At 48.1% G+C, this 19143-nt stretch overlaps 1 protein-coding gene and 2 long non-coding RNA genes across 4 annotated transcripts; 2 read left to right on the forward strand and 1 right to left on the reverse strand.

Moving 5' to 3' along the window:
* Positions 1-670: 670 nt before the first annotated feature.
* LOC124902784 (uncharacterized) lies at positions 671-9170 on the forward strand. The gene is made up of 2 exons (XR_007062938.1): positions 671-766; positions 8796-9170. It is a non-coding gene; the product is annotated as an uncharacterized LOC124902784 (long non-coding RNA).
* On the reverse strand, positions 1016-17853 carry LOC105369591 (uncharacterized). Of its 2 annotated transcripts, none has more exons than XM_017018656.2 (4): positions 17329-17853; positions 5206-5403; positions 1844-2013; positions 1016-1694 (listed from the first exon to the last, which is right to left on the reverse strand). In XM_017018656.2, exons 1-4 carry the CDS (start codon positions 17553-17555, stop codon positions 1465-1467), a joined length of 825 nt encoding a protein of 274 aa, XP_016874145.1. In that variant the 5' UTR covers positions 17556-17853; the 3' UTR covers positions 1016-1464. The 2 variants fall into 2 exon arrangements, with proteins under 2 accessions (XP_016874145.1, XP_016874144.1); XM_017018655.2 differs by having other exon boundaries at positions 1844-2031.
* On the forward strand, positions 12700-15027 carry LOC124902783 (uncharacterized). The gene is made up of 3 exons (XR_007062937.1): positions 12700-14341; positions 14453-14643; positions 14899-15027. It is a non-coding gene; the product is annotated as an uncharacterized LOC124902783 (long non-coding RNA).
* Positions 17854-19143: the final 1290 nt, after the last annotated feature.

Below are 19143 nucleotides of genomic sequence, written 5' to 3' on the forward strand. Positions count from 1 at the left end.
GGAGGGTGCAACAAAGATCAGATGCCATAAATCTGTGGTGTTACCATCTTTTAGGCTGAGTGATTTTTCCCTAGTCGGGCTCTGCATCCCAGAAATACAAGCAGAAGAGGAGGCTGAGGGTGAGGTTAACCTAAGGCACATTTCTGGGCTTCTGGCCTACTCTCTACTCCTGCTGGGCGCCTGTCTCCAGCTGGGACGAAGGGAAGAGCCTGCAGGTCATGCCTCTACTTGAAGCTTCCTTCTCTCTCTCAGGGTTGCTATTTATTATGTCTTGGCCAGTGCACCAATCCAAAAGTTGAAAAAAAGCAGAGTACACATCAAACCATTCCCAGAATCAAACTCTAGGATGATTTAAAGATCAGTGAGTCAGATACATGTGGATTAAATTTTCCTCTAACTACATACTTGGTTAGAAAATCCTAGCCTGGGACTTGGAAGTGATGGGTCCTGTTTGGGACACCCAAGTTGCTATAAAGAGGTACAACGTGTGTTCAGTTCCAGTCCCTGGATCATCAGGCAAGGTCTGAAAACCTCTGTTTGAGACGGCATAAATTCCCAGGACTGCAGACCACTGGACCAAACTTCTAGGAGGCAAGACTTGTGGACCCTGGTGAGAACCCAAGCCAAACCTTTCATGGGGCCAGCCTTGGGAGAAACTGGCCCTGCTTGGCTGGCTTCTGCTACCGTCACTCATCCTTTCTAAGTGAGGGCAGCCTTGAGGCCACAAAACAAAGGCCAAAATGGCTTCAAGGACAGTAAGCTCAAGGTAAGTTTGGATAACTTCTTTAGATCAAAAAAGAGGAACTCCAGGTTAGAAGGCAGGTAATTTTCTGGAATAAATGAGTTTGAAAATATAAAAGTATGGAGAAGAAAAGAGCAACATTTTGTTAGGGACAGAAAAAAAAAAAAAAAAAGAGTCAAAAGACCCCAGTCTTCACTCTGGTTCTGTAATTTTAAGGAAGTCACTATCCCCTTGAGGTTTTGGCACCCTCTGCTGAAAATGTAAAGGTTTGGATTCGATGATGACTCATCTTTTATTTCTGATCTTACTTATCTAGTTTTATGTCCTTTATGCTCAATTTAAGCTCTTCCATGCTCTGCATTTCCCATATCCATTTTTCTTCCTCCCAAGGGGCATGAAAGTATTTGGTGAGCTAAAAGATGTTGGCTTTCTCTTCCTGTTTCTTGCTCAAACCCCAGTCGGTTCTCCAAGCTGTCATTAAACCATCCATCCATTCATTCATTCATTCATTGATACCAGTTTCCCTCCACCACTCTAACTGGAGCTGAGCAATTAGACACATGGTAACCTTGTGTGCAAGAAGTTAAGAAGTCTACCAGGGACTCCAGAGGCCAAAAAATTGGGCAAAAATTAGGCAAGGGGCAGGCCCACTTGGACCCCATACTTCTCCCTCATCAGTTAGCAAAGGGAGAGTCTCTTTTTCCAGCCCTCTCTCCCTCTGCTCATACCTTGGTGAAAGGAAATAATGACCCACAATGTGACCCCATGCCGAGGACGGAGAGGGGAGAGAGATACGCAAGGGTGATGAGGCTTTGTGGCAGGTGGCAGTAGCTGGCAGCTCTCCACGCCTTGATCCCAAGGCCACATTCTCTGGTGGGAGGGGAGCCAGGAAGAGATCCTTGAAATGGAACACTGGAGTGCTCAGGATGGACCAGGCTCCACAACAGCTGCCCTGCAGATGGGGAAGAGCATTTGAATCTTGAGTTTATATTTCTAGAAAAACTCCCCCTCCCACTCTCCCTTGCTGTATTATGGGTTTTTTTGTGAGGTTTAGAAAAATAAACAGAATCTAACAATAACTGTCTGAAAGTGCTAAATTACCAAGAAAGACGTAACAGATTAGCAGTGCAAACTGAGCCTGGGTGGGAGACAGCCAGCACACGAGGGATCTGAGAACGACCCATAGGGTGGTGGTTTCTCTGCTCTTCCTCCTCCCGCAGAATGAGCTGTCTTCACACACTGCAGCCTCTCTGGTGGAGCTGAAGGCTGAGCTGCATTGTCCAGAGAGCCTGAGGTTTAGAAATGGGGTACCATGTCCACTTTCAAACCAGCAACACCCCCAGACTTGAAAAGATCTGGCTCATGCCATCAAGTCCATCTCTGGCTCTCAGGTAGGACTGCTCCTGTCACCCTGGTTGGAGGTGAAACTCTTTTCTGTTTCTAGAGACAACCTTCTCAGATGAACCTGGAGGGCATTACGTTAAGTGAAATAAGCCAGGCATAGAAAGATAAAGACTGCGTGATGTCACTTATATGTGGAATGTAAGAAAGTCCAACTCATAGAAACAGAGTAAAATGGTGGATCCCAGAGGCTGTTGGGTTGGAGGATTGAGGAGATATTGATCAAAGAACACAAAACTTCAGTTAGACAGGAGGAATATGTTCAGGAGACCTATTGTACATCAGGGCAACTACAGTTCAAAACAATATATCTTATATTTTAAAATTGCTCAGAGAGTAGATTTTACATGTTCTTAACCACCATTAAATAAGGATGTCAAATAATACATATGTTCAATAGTTTGAATTAGCCATGCTGGCCTGTATACATATATCAAAACATGATGTTATATGCCATAAATAGGCACAAGTTTTACTTGTCAATTTTTTTAAAAATAAGCTTTTAAAAAGAAACAACCTTCTTTATCTTTTCCCCAGGAATCTGGGAAGGTGTTTAGGCAAGTAATGATTCAAAACTCCCAGAATGTGGGAATCAAAAGGATCTTAGAATACGGCCCCCATCCTTCACTTTACAAATAAATGAACTGAGGTTCACAGGGAGGAAGCACCTTGCCCAAGATCCCCCAGCTGGTGAGTGGCAGAGCTGGGACTAGAACCCGGGTCTCCTGAATCCCTGCAGATGCACATTCTGTAGCAGCTACTTCCAGGCCTTCCATCCAATTGCCCAATTCCCCTTTCCTCATTATTTTTCACTGGGTTGTGTCCAGTGAATTTATATGCTTTTGGCCAATCTGCAACTGTAGCTTCTATGATTTTGAAGTTCTCATATCTTAACCTTAAGGTCTTCTCAGAGATCGAGACCATCCTGGCTAACACAGTGAAATACCGTCTCTACTAAAAATACAAAAAATTAGCTGGGCGTGGTGGCGGGCGCCTGTAGTCCCAGATACTCGGGAGGCTGAGGCAGGAGAATGGTGTGAACCCGGGAGGCGGAGCTTGCAGTGAGCTGAGATAGCGCCACTGCACTCTGGCCTGGGTGAAAGAGCGAGACTCCATCTCAAAAAAAAAAACAAAAAAAAAACAAAAAAAAACAAGTCTCCTCAGTTAAAGTCAGTAGCTTACCTTTCTTGAGCCCCTGCTATTTGTCAGCCACCAGTAACTCAAAGGTGAAAAAGGCACAGTGCCTGTCTTTAAACACTGATGGCCAGGAGCAGTGGCTCACACTTGTAATCCCAGCACTTTGGGAGGCCAAGGTGGGCAGATCACCTGAGGTCAGGAGTTCAAGACCAGCCTGGCCAACATGGTGAAACCCCGTGTCTACTAACGATACAAAAATTAGCCGGGCATGGTGGTGCATACCTGTAATCCCAGCTACTCAGGAGGCTGAGGCAGGAGAATCACTTGAACTTGGGAGGCAGAGGTTGCAGTGAGCCGAGATTGCACCATTGCACTCCAGCCTGGGCAACAGAGCAAGACTCCAACTCAAAAAAAAAAAAAAAAAAAAGATTGACATGAAGCCAGAGGGGAACTCTGGGGTTCTTTCTGACTAACAACCTGAACTCCTTCTGCTAACTCTACCTATTGCCCCACTACATCTTCAGGATGTGTGCGGGATGGGTTAGGAAGTAGAAGTTACCAGGTTAAGCTATGGTCTGTGAGGCACTGTCCTGGGTTCTGGAAGAGAGACCTCCCTACTCTCCAGGAGACATGTGAAAGACCAGCTTCTAGTTTACTAACAGATGCAGGGACAGATAACTGGGATTTGAATTATACCTCCACTATTTACTAGCAATGAGACCACAGGCAAATTATCTAATCTTTCTGGGCCTCAATCTCTTCTGAAATGAGGATAGTAAAGCCCATCTTATAAGGCTGTTATGAAAATCAAACAAAATATGTGAACTCCCTAGTTCCATGCCTACTGCACAGGAGACCTCAAAAATGCTACTTTCTTTCCTTTCTCTTGAATTCTAGTCTTATGTGACTGTGTGTTACCCAGAGCATGATGATTACTGAAGATTTAAATGTGTATTAGTCTGTTCTCACACTGCTAATAAAGACATACCTGAGACTGGGTAATTTATAAAAGAAAGTAGTTTAATTGACTCACAGTTCCATATGGCTGGGGAGGCCTCGCAATCATGGAGGAAGGCAAATGACGAGCAAAGTCACGTCTCACATGGTGGCAGGCAAGAGAGCTTGTGTAGGGGAACTCTGCTTTATAAAACCATCAGATCTTATGAGATTTATTCACTATCATGAGAACAGCACAGGAAAGATCTGACCTTATGATTCAATTACCTCCCACCAGGATCCTCCCGTGATATGTGGGAATTATAGGAGCTACAATTCAAGATGAGATTTGGGTGGAGACACAGTCAAACCATATCCCAGTGCTTTGTGGAGAGACTGTTTCACTGCTATTCTCTTCCAAGCACAGCAAAGGGGGCTGGCTGGCCACCCGCTCCCTTGTAAGTGTGACTTCCCACTTCGAGTCTGCCTGGTGTAGACCCTGATCTTGGCTCAGCACGACAACCCTTCCTTCAGGCTAAACTCTCTCCCTTGGCATCCACCACTGGAAAAGGATGAGCTGCCCTAATCTGAGCCACACTCTATCTCTTTTGAAGAAACAAAAGTGAGAGGAAGCCATGGGGGAGATGCGTTCCTCCTTGATGCATCATAAAAGACACACAGATTTAATGTCAGAAGACAGGCTGGAAAGCCAGCCCTTCCTCCACATCCGTGTCATCCTAGCCTCACTGACCCTCAGTTTCTTGATCTGTGAGAAGGGAACACAAAAGCTGTTTCAGTTAGTTACTGTGAAGATTAAATTTGAAAAGACATACGAATAGTCATAACAAAGAGGAAAGTATTAACGCTACGTCGATACCACTTTACTATTATTGTCTCTTCTCCTGTTCCCCTGACACATCTCAAGTGAGAGCAGGCCCAGGCCAAATCTGCAGAAATTCAGTTTTATTCTTGCTAAGCAGCAGTCCTACCTGATGCTCTCCAGTCGGTAAGGGCAGGGCCCTCCTCTCTCCACCTGAGCTGTGGGAGGCAGGAGGCAAAAGGCCAGTCCCAGAACGGGAACCACGGAGCTGTCTCCTTCTCCATCTGTCTCTGGGGGAGTGCTCTTGGCAAGGAGCAACCGTTCCAAAGGCAAATGTCCAAGGTGAAATCCATCACGGGGCCCTGGACTGGGAAAAGATAGAGGAAAGTAAATCAAGCCTCTCTGAGATAAGAAGACACAGCCTGGAGCATTTAAAAAATGCAACTCTACCAGCTGCCCACTTTTGCGAAGTTTTAAGGCAGAGGACTATGCTAGGTAAGAAGGAACCCAGACCCCATCCCCCTATTTAAAAAGTGGGAGGAGCCCCGATGTGGGGCTTCTCTCTTCTCTCTCCCTCTTACTGCAAGTCTCAGCCAGAGAGGAGCAAAAGGCATTTTTAATGAATCTCTCTCAGCAAAGAAACAGGGAAACATGGAGGCCGTCCGTTTGGTATCAGAGATTAAGGACAAGGGTTCTAGGGTCAGGCATTCTGGGTTCTAATCCTGACTTTTACACTATACGTGTAGTCTTAAACAATCAACTTAATCTCTATGAACCACAGTTTCCAACAGGGATAATATTACGCTATCTTATAGAACTGTTTTCAAGACTAAATATGGGATAATTTTTATAGAGCATTTACTACAGTGGCAAACAGAAAGTGTGTAATCAATAGTGTTATGGCTATTTATAAGATCTGTAAGAGATTGGGGAAGTCAATACCTCTCTAACTACCTTTTATCCCATTTGTATAGTCATTTCTTTAAATTCTCTGAATGGTATTCCCCAAAACAAATCTGGTAGCATCAGTCTTATGTGTTGAATGCTATTGAACAGTGGACATTTTTCTTGCCATTATGTCCCATTTGTGACCTATGACCACACCTGTTCCACTCACCATGTCTCCAAAAATTTGTACGTTTAAGTGCATGTCTGACTGGCTGAGCCTGGAACATCTACAAAGAGATGTTTTGACCACACTCAGGTCATGAAGGGAAGAAAATCGTTAACAGACACCTGGAGTCTGAAGATAGACATGTGGGGAGGCAAGGGAATAATGTCTTAGGCAGGAGGTCCCTCAGTCAGAGGGGAGGACTCTGCATCTGAAAGAAGACCTTCATATCCCTCAAAGTCCCCCTTACCTTATCTTCATCTTTCTCTCTCTTCATTATCAATAAGCCACACACGTTTTCCATGTGCCTGGGCTTGGCGTGTGATGGGAGATGTTTATATCTTGGTCCCCAATCTAAAGCTATCAACAGGATGGGCACAGTGCACAGTGGCTTACGCCTGTAATCCCAGCACTTTGGGAGGCCGAGGCAGGTGGATCATCTGAGGTCAGGAGTTCGAGACCAGCCTGGCCAACATGGCAAAACCCCGTCTCTATTAAAAATACAAAAATTAGCCTGGCATGGTGGTGGGCACCTGTAATCCCAGCTACTCGAGAGGCTGGGGCAGGAGAATCCCCTGAACCCGGGAGGCAGAGGTTGCAGTGAGCAGAGATTGCACCACTGCACTCCAGCCTGGGTGACAGAGCAAGACTCCCATCTTAAAAACAAAATGAAACAAAAAATAAATAAAAATAAAGCTAGCAACAGTCTAATCAGAGAGGGAACTGAGAAACCTGGGATGTCTCAGGGAGTCTGGGAACCTGGCCTTCTTAGCATGGAACCCACTGTAGAGGGGAGATGGGTTCATGGCAAGGAAAGGGAAGCAAATACTCAAGGGCCCTGGAAGGGAGGCAGAAGCCTGTGGCTGCGGCGGCAGTCAGTGGAGGAGGCTTTACGGCTTCCTGAGCAAGGAATTGCATGATGAACATGTGAACATGGTGTGTGGGGTGGACGGGCCAGACCAGAAGCCCTTGCGAGAGAATAAAGGAGCACAAGACCCAGCTTTGACCTTGGCTCAGCCACACACAGCTGTGTGAGTGACACTGGGCAAGTCGCTTAACCTCTCTCCTGGTTTCTCACTTAGAATAATAAAACCTGACTTCCAGGTTTGTCATGAAGCTGCGAGGTGACATATGGTTGCTTTGTGCAAATGTATGTGTTCTAGTGACTGGAGTGGTGTGCTGGGGAGATGAGCACTGCAGGAAGGGAGGCCACCTGGGGACAAGTGGGGCTGTATGGCCAGGCAGGCCTGTGGGGACAAGGGCAGCATGGAGTGGGGGAAGCACTTGAACCTTTTTCTACTGTGTGGCTCTCCTCCTGCTGCCCACGGGTTCTAGGGGCTGCATAGAAAGAGTCCCATGGACTTAAACCCTCTCTTGGCTTAAAACCCACAGTAAGAGGCAGATAGCTGAGAAGATCAGGGAGTGACAGAACATGAGTGGATATACAAATAGACAAGATTAACTATTCCCACTGTATACACAAGAGGCTTTGCTAACACTCGGCCAATTAGAAAACTAATCTAAACAGCCACTGGCTTACATTCTCCTAGGAGCTCTCCAACAGCTGTTCGCTTGCACTTGCCGCTGCTCCCAGCTAGTGCCCTGAGGCTTCTCCTTGGGTCTGGCCCTCACTTGAGCCTCAAGGGCTCCTCAAGAGCAAAGGATTGTGTCGCTTTCCTTTCCTTTCCCTGAACTCCCCCTCGGGTCCTGCTGCTGTTATTACAGGGGGCTCCCTCCATGTCACTGCCTCTGAGAAGCCTTCCACCGTACCCCTAAACAGAGGGACCATTACAGCACTTTTCGGGTTAGACTGCCATTCATCTGGGAGGCATGTACATGAAGAGAGTAAGAGCAAAGCCTTTGAAGTCTGATAAATCGGAGTTAAAAACTCCTAGATCTCTCACTGTTGTGCTCTCTCTGATACCCTGTTCCCTCGCCTAAAAAGAGGATAATAATGATACCTACTTAGGAATTAAAAGCAGGCTAGGCACGGTGGCTCACACCTGTTATCCCAGCACTTTGGGAAGCCGAGGTGGGTGGATCACTTGAGGTCAGGCATTCAAGACTAGCCTGACCACTATGGTGAAACCCCATCTCTACTAAAAATACAAAAACTTAGCCGGGCGTGATGGCGGGCGCCTGTAATCCCAGCCACTCGGGAGGCCGAAGCAGGAGAATCACTTGAACCACTGCATACCAGCCTGGGCAACAGAGCGAGATTCCATCTCAAAAAAAAAAAAAAAAAGGAACTAAAAGCAAATATGTATATACAGGTGTATATGTGTGTGTGTGTGTGTGATACCCCTCTATTTAGATAAGCAAATATATATATATTTATATATATATATGACAAGCTAGTACAGCCCCTGCATACTGTAAGTATTCAATGCATTGCTTTTGCCATTATTATTACTATTGTACTGCTACTACTATTATAATTGTCATTATTGCTGTCTCTGAGTTACCCGAAGGCCAAAAACAACTTTGACTTGGGGGCAAGTAGCCTCTAACATGGTCCCTGATGGTCTCTGTCTCCCAGCCTCCACACCCTTGTGTAAAGCCCTCCTCTGGAGTGTGGGTGGAACCTGGGACTTGCTTCTAATCCACAGAATATGGCAAAGGCAATGGGATGTCACTTCCTTCCTCAGGTTTCAAAAGATTGTGACTTCCGTTCTGCTGGCTGACCCTCTCTCCAGCCTTCTCAGCTTGCATATCTCCATGAAGCAAGCTGCCATGTTGGCAAGACCTACGTGGCAAGGATTTGAGAGCATCCTCTGGCCAGCAGCAAGCTAGGAACCGAGGCCCTCAGTCCAACAACCATCAAGGGACTGAATTCTGCCAACAAACATGTGAACTTGGATGTGGATCCTTCCCCAGGTGAGCCTTCAGACGAAATGCCAACCCTGGCCAAAATTTTGGTTACAGCCTTGTGAGAGATTCTAAAGAAAGGACCTGGCTAAGTTGTGCCCTGGCTCTTGGCCCACAGAAACTGTGAGATAATAAAAGTGTGTTGTTTTAAACCATGATGTATTATGGATTTGTTACACAGAAATAGATAGCTAATACAACCTCTCTGTCTTCCTAGCTCAGCATTTGGCATATGGAGTGGAAGTCAAGTGTCAGTTGAGTGTATGAATGAATGAATGGTGATGGTAACAGGTAAACTCATCAGGACCTAAGAAAGGCCTAGACAGGCTAGATCCAAAGAGAGAGCTCTTTCCCAGCACCCACTGCCTGTATATTCTGTCTTCTCTCCCTCACGACCCTAGGTCCCTCCTCCCTTCCCCGGTCCTCAGGACCTTGCTCTCCTCTTGGTTCCTGCCTTTACTCATTCTCTCTGAATTTTTATTTTCCTCCTTAAAAAATAAAAAATCCAGCTCTCTCTCAAATATCTGCCTCTGGTGAACTGGAATAATTTTTGGTGGAAAGCAGTCTTGTCCAGAAAGGCTCTTACCCACCCTGCTCAGGAATGTGGTTGCTGCAGATATTAAAACAGACTGCAGGCGTCTGCAGTGAGTGGGGAGCTCGTGCCAGCAATGACCTCAGCCCGCACAGCAGGGCTCTTACCTAGGACAAGCTGCTGCATTGAGCTGGATCACAACAGACCTCCAAACTCTTCCCCTTCCAGGTATCCCAGGCTGCACTCTCTAGTTTAATGCCTGAGACACACCTTTGCACCCAAGCCTGGTATCAAAAGTCAAGGGTGGTGCCACCAGGCCTGTGAGGGAGGATGCTGTGGGTCCCACTGTCCCTTCATATTCAAGTGGCTTTGGCTAAAGAATGTGGGCCTCACGCTGGCAGCCCCCTTTCCTGTTCTGTTCTCCTGACTCCATGCCTCCCACTCCTGACAGCTCCAAGGGATCCTGTTCAGGTTGAGAGGTATCAGGCTTCATTTCTTCTGCAAGAGGCACCCTCCCAGGGAAGGCCAGGATTCTCAGGGCAGAAACCGGAGCCTGGGACCCCTCATGGTAAGGCTCCCCATTGTGTGGCTGAGCTTGCATTCAGGCTTAGATCTTTCCCTGCTTAATTCAGCTCCCGTTGTTGAATCCGAAGCTGGCTAAGATGAAGTAGCAACTCGTGTCAATTTTCAGATTTCCCTCTTCCACTGGGAAACTCAGAGAACTAGGAGTATCCCAGCCATAATCGATTCCAGCCTCCAAACTCAGAAACCTACCCTAGGATCATCCCAGTAATTACCACAACAGCTAACGTTTGCCTAACACATTCTTGGATGCAAAGTACTTCTACACATGCTATTTCTCATAAGAATCTTACAATATTTTTAGCCCCATTTAACAGAGGAATAAATCGTGGCTCAGAGATAGTAAGTAGAATTCTCCCAGTTACGTAGTGAGCAAGTGGTAGAAGGGGAACCTAAACCAAGGTCTATTGACTCATACATAGTCCAGTCCTCTTTCCACTACTCCCAAATCTGTAAGGCTCATTTTCCTGTAACTTTGCATTTCATTTGTAAGTTGATCACTTTGTACTTACGTATACCCATTATATTGTCCAATTCCTGCTACTTCCTCCTTAGTCTTCACCCATGCCAGCCTCTGGAGGGCTGGGTCAAGTAGCTTTATGCAGACCAGCAATGGATTGACCACTGGCCTTCAAGTCTGGAGATCCAGGTTTTAAGCTCTGGCTCTGCCACTAATGAGGGGTGTGACTTTGAGTCAGTTACCTCACTTTTCTACCTTACTTTTGCAATGTGAAGGCGATAAATTGCGTGATCACTGGAGTCACTTCTAGCTCTAGAACTATGATCCTTTGATGTAATTCCTGGTTGGGCTCCCTCTTGGGGAGGAACAATTTTTCAAGACAATGGCAAATTCACTCTTGCACTATGAATGCCATCCGGAGCTTGGGCTGAGAAGGGTGAGCGTTTAGCTAACTGCTCCAGTGATGATAGGAAGACCCTTTCCCCCACCTCTGCCTGAACAGGTCCCTTCATTCCTGGCTTCTTTTATCTGTCCTTCCACAACATGTTGTGACCTCTTTTGGGTAGGATTATAAGCACCCAAAGGCCTCTGTCCTTGATCCTCTTTGACCAATGATTATTGCCCAACCCGGTACCAGACAGGCTGGCACTTCCCTGATCTCCTCAGGATGTCTGTGAGCCCAGGATGAAGGTTATTCACAATCCCCAGTGCTAGGGAGACCCAGGGGGCCCTGCAGCTGCTCCCGGCTGTCTGGCTGAACAATGCCGATTCTGTCAGGTCTCCCGGCTGAGCCTTCTTGCGGAGGGTATTCCGGTTGCAGTATTAACTGGAGGCATCTCAGCTGCTTCCTGTTCCTTGGGTCTCAGCACAGATTCCTGAGTGAAGACAGTCAGCCCGGCTTTGCATCTGACCCGAGCCCCCAGCAGTTGGGGTTGGGGGCAGGAAAGATGAAAGAGCTTCGCCATCATCTCAAAGCAAGGAGTCAAACCTCCTCAGCTGGAAGGGGCCCCAAGGACCAAGTGCCCGTTAGACACTGCTCCCAGACATGCCAACCAGGCACAAGGACAGGAGTGTAGCTCAGTTCTCAATCTTTGGGAAGGTAACTCTGCAGCCTCCTAGGTGACTTCTTTCAGGACAAAAATCTAAGAACAACTCTCCATTCTGCAGCCAAACCACTTGTACAAACTACTGGTATTACTTGTACCAGTGTGAACTCCCCACTTCAGCAAGACACATTCTCCTGCCTATCTCCCCCGCTCAGCTGTCCCCCACAATTACGAAGCATGGCAAGAGTTGTCACCACGTTCCTATGTCCTTCCCCATTTCCACAGCCACTCCAGTTCTTTTCTGGCATCACATCTCTGCTATAAGACTACTTATCATCTCCCTAAAACTGCTGTAACTGATACCATGAGACTCTAGCTAGGCTATGCATTCTCATTTGTTTTTCTTCCAGATTTCTTTTTTTTTTTTCCTTTGAGACAGAGTCTCGCTTTGTCATCCAGGCCAGAGACCAATGATGTGATCTCTGCTTATTGCAACTTCCACCTCCTGGGTTCAAGCTATTCTCATGCCTCAGCCATCCAAATTGAGCAGCTGAGACTAGAGATGTGTGCCACCATGCCCGCTAAGTTTTGTATTTTTAGTAGAGACAGGGTTATGTTGGTCAGACTGGTCTCGAACTCCTGACCTCAAGTGATCCACTCGCCTCGGCCTCCCAAAGTGCTGGAATTACAGGCATGAGCCATCACACCTGGCCTTTCCCCAGATTTCTAAATATTCCATGCTTACCTGACAATCTTTGCCAATGTAGTGACCTTGGCATATTCCTTCTCTCTTTTTTTTTTTTTTTTTTTTTGCTTATGTTAGTGTCTCTCAAACCTACTCCGTAAACTGGGAGTTCCTCCGCTGTACGGACAAAGTCTCCTCCCTCCCTCTGAACTGTTGCTGATGCTTGCTTTCTGATTATTGACCATCAGGAAGTCCCACCTGAGAACTAACGCTCTGCCTACAGTTGAATCCCATTTCCTGTTTGGTTGGAGCCTGGAAATGTGATAAGGCTTTGGCCAGCTGCCACTATATTAGCTGGTCCCCAAGGCCAATTTGGGGATATAAAGGAGAAAATGACTCCTATTACTTAAATAGTGTTTCAGAAATGCCCCAGAGTAGAAACAATGGTCCTTGCTGCACCCGGATCCACTGTAACCCTCTTCTTTTGCACCCAGCATCCTGGCCTGCCAGACGGCAGTTCTAGTAAGACGTACTATGTAATGAGGAACGTAACTCAAGGCCGGTCACACCAGAGACTTGTGGAAGGGCAGCCGCCAGGCAGGGGACACAGAGGCTCAGCAGAGGAAGACTCCAGTCAGGTGGCCAGCTCCGTCCTCTGCTATCTCTACAAACGGGCTAGTTTCTTTAAGATTTTTTTCCTTGAGTCCTAACGAAAAACGAGTTGGAACCATGATTGGGGGCGGGGGTGGGGGCTGCAGGGCAGAGTTTATAGGCACTTGCAATTTCTTAACGGCTCCCTCCTCACCCATTCCTCTGCATTTTTCTCTTTTATTAACGTGGCATCTTTCCCAGGACACTTTATGGGACCGTGTGTTTTCACTTATGCCCTGATTAGGGTTGATTGTGTCTCTCTCTATGAAGAGCCCTCAGATCTCGCTCAAGGCCTCCCCTGCACCCCCTGCAAGGGTGCAGGCCATTCTTTCGCTCCAGGGCTCCTGGGCTAATCTCTTAACCTGTCCCCAAGGGCTCCACTGGGTTTTCTACCACACAAGGCACTCTTCTGCCTTAGGGTCGCACTTCATTTGGACCCCAAATAAGACACCCCAGTTGGCTTACTCAACTCTGAAGTGATTCCTGGCACTTGCCCCCAAATTAAATCTGCCCCAGAGGATGAAGAGGAAGATTTGCCACACTGAAGATTTTCTTTTTCTTTTTCGAGACGGAGTTTCACTCTTGTTGCCCAGGCTGGAGTGCAATGGCACAATCTCGGCCCACTACAACCTCCACCTCCTGGGTTCAAGCGATTCTCCTGCCTCAGCCTCCCTAGTAGCTGGGATTACAGGCATGTGCCACCACGCCTGGCTATTTTGTATTTTTAGTAGAGACGGGGTTTCTCCATGTTGGTCAGACTGGTCTTGAACTCCCTACCTTAGGTTATCCACCCGCCTTGGCCTCCCCAAGTGCTGGGATTACAGGCGTGAGTCACGGCGCCTGGTCTGAAGATTTTCAAAGGAATGTGCTGTGAGCCCTGAAGGCCATTGCCCAAGAGGAGGCTCTGAAAATGTTTTGAGCAATAGCAGCTCTGATAGAACACAGCTTTCCAAGGGGCCCACTTTCAAAGGCACGGCACGCTTTTCAGAGAGTCAAGCTTTGGCGTGTTTATTAAAAAAGACACCCATGCTGCTTTCAGGAACGCTGAGCTCTTAGCTCTTCTTTTCTCTTTAACTCAATTCCAAGAGGGGCTGGGACCGAGGTTTGGCGCTTACTTGCTCTCCTTCAGCCCCATTTTAGAAATGTTTCCACCTACCCGTCTCCTGTTATCTGGGAGATTGCTCTGTTTCACTCAGACATGAAGCAGCAGGCTTGGTGGCAGCCCTGTGATCTTTGAAAGCATACCCTCTGGGAGTAGCAGTTTCTTCTTCTGTAGAATGGGGAAAGTAATACATATTCTGCAAGGCTGTGAGAATGAATTGGAGCGATGTCTGCAAGAGGCCTGGCATGCTAAAGGCCTTCAGTAAATGGTAGGGATTTTTGTTATTAATACTATTACCAATATTAAGCAATTAGCCAATATATATTGACCTCTTTGAGAATCTGCTTTTGTTCCCTGGTCCCTCCTCTTGTTCGTCCAGGCCTTCTCCTACTGCAACCCTTTCCTTCTGGAATGTCTGTGGACAACACAACATCAAACTCCCCATTCCTGGCTCCAGGGCAAGAATCTCTGAGTCCTTTGGGAAGTGCAGTGCTAGGATCATTTTCCTGTTGTCAGCGGCTCTGGAAGAGGCATTAGCCCCACAAGGCTTGATGTGGGAAGTTTTTACAGGTACTGCTCATCTGGTGGGCAGATGTAGCTTTGCAGCAAGATAGAGCTCTGTCTTCCAGATCGGGGGTGCCTGGGAGTCTTGAGGTAGAACTGGTTCCTCTCTGCTTGGAGCCAGTGTGGGCACACACATGGGCCTGTCATCTCCTTCAACAGCCCTGGGATCGTTGATCCAAGTTAGATGGAGTGCCTTTAACCCCTGAAATTCACATCCTGGCAATCAGCTGACCATGCCTCCATCATCTCTGTTCCCCGCAGCCCCGACCTCTGCCATCCCCCAACACATAGACACACACAGTGTTATTTCCAGGGAAGAGGAGGATAGTCCTGGTCAATAGCAGTGGACACACTGGAGGTTTCCCCTCAAGGTAAGAGTGTCATTCATTTGCACATTCTCAAGGAGGTGAAACAGGATGCAGAGGGCTTCTCAAGGTAGGGTTACCCCAGAGCATTTGAGCATTTTCCTAAAGGAAGATGAAGGGAGTAGTAGCCACCAGTGGCTGAGTTCTCCCCTCTACATCCCACTGGATATCACCAATCCCTAATTCTCCACTCCAAAGCCCTAGCTCTGCCTTGATAGAGTGGGGATGTGCCTGGGCCATTAGTAGCCATTGTCCACTCTTTTATTGCTTGGGCTTTTTAGGGGGACCTTTATGCGAAGATGCTCCCAACCTCATCACATCTGGGACCTTTTTGCGAAGATGCTCCCAACCTCATCACATCTGGGACCTTTTTGCGAAGATGCTCCCAACCTCATCACATCTGGCCAAAGTGCTTTTAGTCACAAGCGGCAGAACTCAGTTCACAGGAACACATATGAAAAGTGGATGTAGAGATAACTATGAGGGATATGAGACTTTAATTAAGCAAAGTACCCGGCCTCGTCATTCTCTCTCCTCCTGGGCTGTGGTCTCTTGGCTCAGCCTTTCTCTCTTCGTGACTTTGGTTTGCCTATGGTTTTATAACATGGCCCTAACAAGTAAGTCCTCCTTGATCATGACATTTACTTGAGCTCCCTATGACCAAACAGAGTCTGCTTTTTAATTTCAAACTCTTAAGAGAGAAAAACCGGATGGCTGTTTATTGCCAACACGTTGGCTGGCCTTGGGTACTTATTCCTGGTCTAGTTAGCCGCGGCTGAGGAGCAGAGCATGTGGTATGAAACACATATAAGGTAGCAGGGGCTGAAAGTGGGAAACAACTTCTCTGAGAAGCAACCCAAGCTGGTATTCCACCCAAGGTGTGCCTGATGCACCCCCTGTGTGGTTCTGGGATTCACCCGAGGGACAGGTAATAGCCGTCCTCAGTGACTGTCTCGGCAGAGGCTGGGCTTGGAGCTCAAAGGCCAGGGAAGCAGCAGGTCCACTGATGCAGCTGCCACCTCCACAGCATGCTGGGGACATGGTGACATTCTCCTAAGAGCACTTACAGAGACAGTGTCCTGTGAAAGCAGCGCTGGACTGGGAGTTGGCAGTCCTGGCTTGTCATCCAGCTCGGCTGCTAACCCCCATGACCCCGGGGAACCGACCTTCTTCCTCTAGGTCTTAGATTCTCCAGAAGTTAAAAATGAATTTAAAAACCATTGTTATTAATAATAATAAACAGCATTGAATGAAATCATCTCCAGGGTTCTTTTCAATCCCTAAGATTTCCCTAAGCCTCCCCCATCTCCACTTGACAACTTCCCAGAAATGCTTTCAAATGGAGCTCTTTAACCCATAATTTGGTGGGGCCTCTGCCAGCTGCCTCTCTCCCACAACACACCCAGTCCCTGTGATAAGTCCTCCTCAGGGGCTTTCCAGCCTAGACCTGCAGCTATTCAAGAAAGTCCAGGCAGGGCCTTCCCGGGCAACTGATTTCTGAGCTTGTTCGACGGGGAGGAGGGGGTCTGAGCATTTGCTGTCTGGCCACTCCAAAGAGGGAAGTCTGGGCCTGAAGACGCATCTACTGGGGGGTTTCCACATTGATGATCAGGGCCTGGGAGGCCAAGAGAAGCTCCAGAAGAAGGGTCAGCAAAATCCCCAGAGAAACGGGGACTATGAGTGGAACAGAGCTGGAGAGGAAGAACGGAAAACACTGTGGGTTCCCGGGACGGGGGCAGGGAGGAGGGAAAGTTTGTGTCTTTTGGCAGGAAATGAATAACATTCAAAGAATATGCAAAATGCCATTCTAATTGGCACCTGTTCCCTTTGGAGCCAGTCACTCGGCCCACGGCATCTGAGGGTGAGTCTGGTTTGGGTCTCCCCAGGGGAGGAATACAGCACATTGAGATCCACTTGAATGATAAGAGAGGCACTGGTCCTAAGTGGGGTAGAGGAACGGAAGGTACCCTCAGCCTCCATGGCTCCTTCCCAGCCCCAAATGCTCTGTCACAACCCCCCCAGCTCAACCCCAGGCAGATGGCTACAAATTTTGCAGGGGCCTCTGAGCATTCCCTTGGCTAACAGCCACATTCCAGAACAGCATATGTTTCATCTCAAATCCACAAGGTTTGCACTTCCAAGCGGAGCCAAAGAGAAAAACCTTGGCCCAGGCTGCAAATTTCTTAGGAGAGGTGGGGGTCAGGGGCGGCCCCCAGGGAGGTTGTAGCTGTTATGTTGAAGAACATTTGAGTTCAAGTTCATGCAAAGCTAGGTCCCAAATATATGACACCCACATTCCTAATTCATAACCCCTCAAAGTACCTACCTGGAGAAGGAGTGAGCAGCGCTGCTTCCTCTTGCTGTCACCCAAATGGCCCTCATGCCACCTGCATGTTCCTCCAGCCCCATAACAGTTCTGCACCTTTGCCTAACTTCATGGCCCTTTTGAATCAGTGATTCACAGCCCAGGGCTGTGTGGAGTCTGGGTGGGGAGGGAAGAAACAGGGTGACTCCTGATCTCACTCTACCCCTTAAAAAATGCCTGGACCTCATCTGTGCTGGCTCCCATCTCCGTGCTCTGAAATTTATTTGGCTACTGAAAGACACCAAGCCTGAAGGAGGGTTTAGGAAGGACAGGGCTGAGCTGGGTGGAAAGGAGGAGTAAGGCAGGGGAAATATGAAGGCATGAGAGCTAGAGGGGGCGGCGGGGCAGAGGTGCAGAAAGGGACACAGAAGGGTCTCAGCTGGGAAGAGGGAGAGGTAAGCTCTCTCCTGGCGGGTGGGGAATGGGGGGACATTGGGAGTCCTGGTCCTCTGGGGGTTCTGCTCTGTGGTAAGCTAAGGGATTTCTGACAGCAAAGTAAACTGTGGTGTGCTGAGTTTACCCAGCTCCAATAAGCAGTGTTGGAGTGTTTAATGTTTCCTTCCCACTGAATTGGTTGACAGGCACTGAACCGCAGCCAGCCCCTTGCTGTTTCTTGGGGAGGTAGTAGGTGGGGAGGTTAGTACAGGGCTGTCAGGAAAGCTGGCATCGCTGACCCCAACCCAGGATGCGGAGGCTTGGGTGGAAGCCGGGAAGTTCCCCTCACATAGGCCCGAAGTTCCCATCAAGGAGGAGAAGCCTGAAATACAAGTCACCTCCTTATCCCAACCATCCCAGCCCGGCTGGTGCGCACCAGCCCTCCTGCGCTCTGCAAAATACAGCCATTTATTTCTCTCGTCATGCTCAGCTTTATTAAATGCCTGCCTAAGGGGCTGCAGCCTCAAACAGCCATGCTTATGCAGATGGATGCAGAGGACAGACACACAGACCACAAAATAAATCAGGAAGACACCAGAGCTCAGCGCCCGAGTACAAAATAAACTATGCCTGGCAGGATGCCCAGCACGAGGTGCTGGCTTTGTGCTAAGCAAGGATGAATGGGTTGAGGGATAGGGAAAAATGACTTTCTTTTCTCTCAATCCAAGGAGACTCCTGGGAAGAAACTAAAATGCACAAAGCTCTTAGATGGAATGGAAGAGAAAGTTCGGACAGAAGGGATCTCAGGGCGTGGAGTGGGCACGAGCACAGGGGAGGGGCAAGAGAAGCAGACGATGGTGCATCCAGACAGCGAGTACGTGTAAAGGGCATGGAACAGCTCAGAAAAAGGACATGGGGAAGGTTGGAGTGGGCTTTGGGCATAGAGCTAGAAGCTGTCCAGGAACTGCAGCAGAGAGCCCTGAGCTACTACTGCATCCTCCCCATCCAACTAGCAGAGAATCGGAGGTACACTGTGGACCTATAGAGCAAGGGGAGGGGGCCAAGTGCTGGGGAAGTGGGAGGAGCCACAGTGGCACCGAGGAGCAGCCCAGGTGAATGACCAGGGCATGGGATGCCCATTAAGCAGTGAGCATGAAGAGGGAGGGGGAATGTGACAAGATTATCAAGGGGTGCACAGCAAGGTGGGGGAACTGCCTGGATGAAGACATCTTAAAATACAATAAAGAAATAAATAAGCCAGCAGGGGTCATTCATGGCTTGGGAGTGGGAGGATGAGCGAGTTTGAGGATACTGCTCAGAATCATGGTGGGGTGTGTAGGTATGTAAAGGTAACACTGCTGCTAAGATCTTTATGCAATTTCAGTCATATTTTCTTGGATC

The sequence above is a fragment of the Homo sapiens genome, chromosome 11 (assembly GCF_000001405.40).
Source record: "Homo sapiens chromosome 11, GRCh38.p14 Primary Assembly".
NCBI lineage: Eukaryota > Metazoa > Chordata > Mammalia > Primates > Hominidae > Homo > Homo sapiens.

Excerpts from the sequence above, each read along its gene's own strand:
- LOC105369591 (XM_017018655.2), bottom strand. The coding sequence starts at position 17,555 with ATGAGGTCCAGGCATTTTTTAAGGGGTAGAGTGAGATCAGGAGTCACC. Across the intron at positions 2,032-5,205 it reads TACCGACTGGAGAGCATCAG|GCTCTCTGGACAATGCAGCT; the intron begins GTAGGACTGCTG and ends TCTAAACCTCAG. Across the intron at positions 1,695-1,843 it reads AATCTGTTACGTCTTTCTTG|GGCAGCTGTTGTGGAGCCTG; the intron begins GTAATTTAGCAC and ends CCCCATCTGCAG.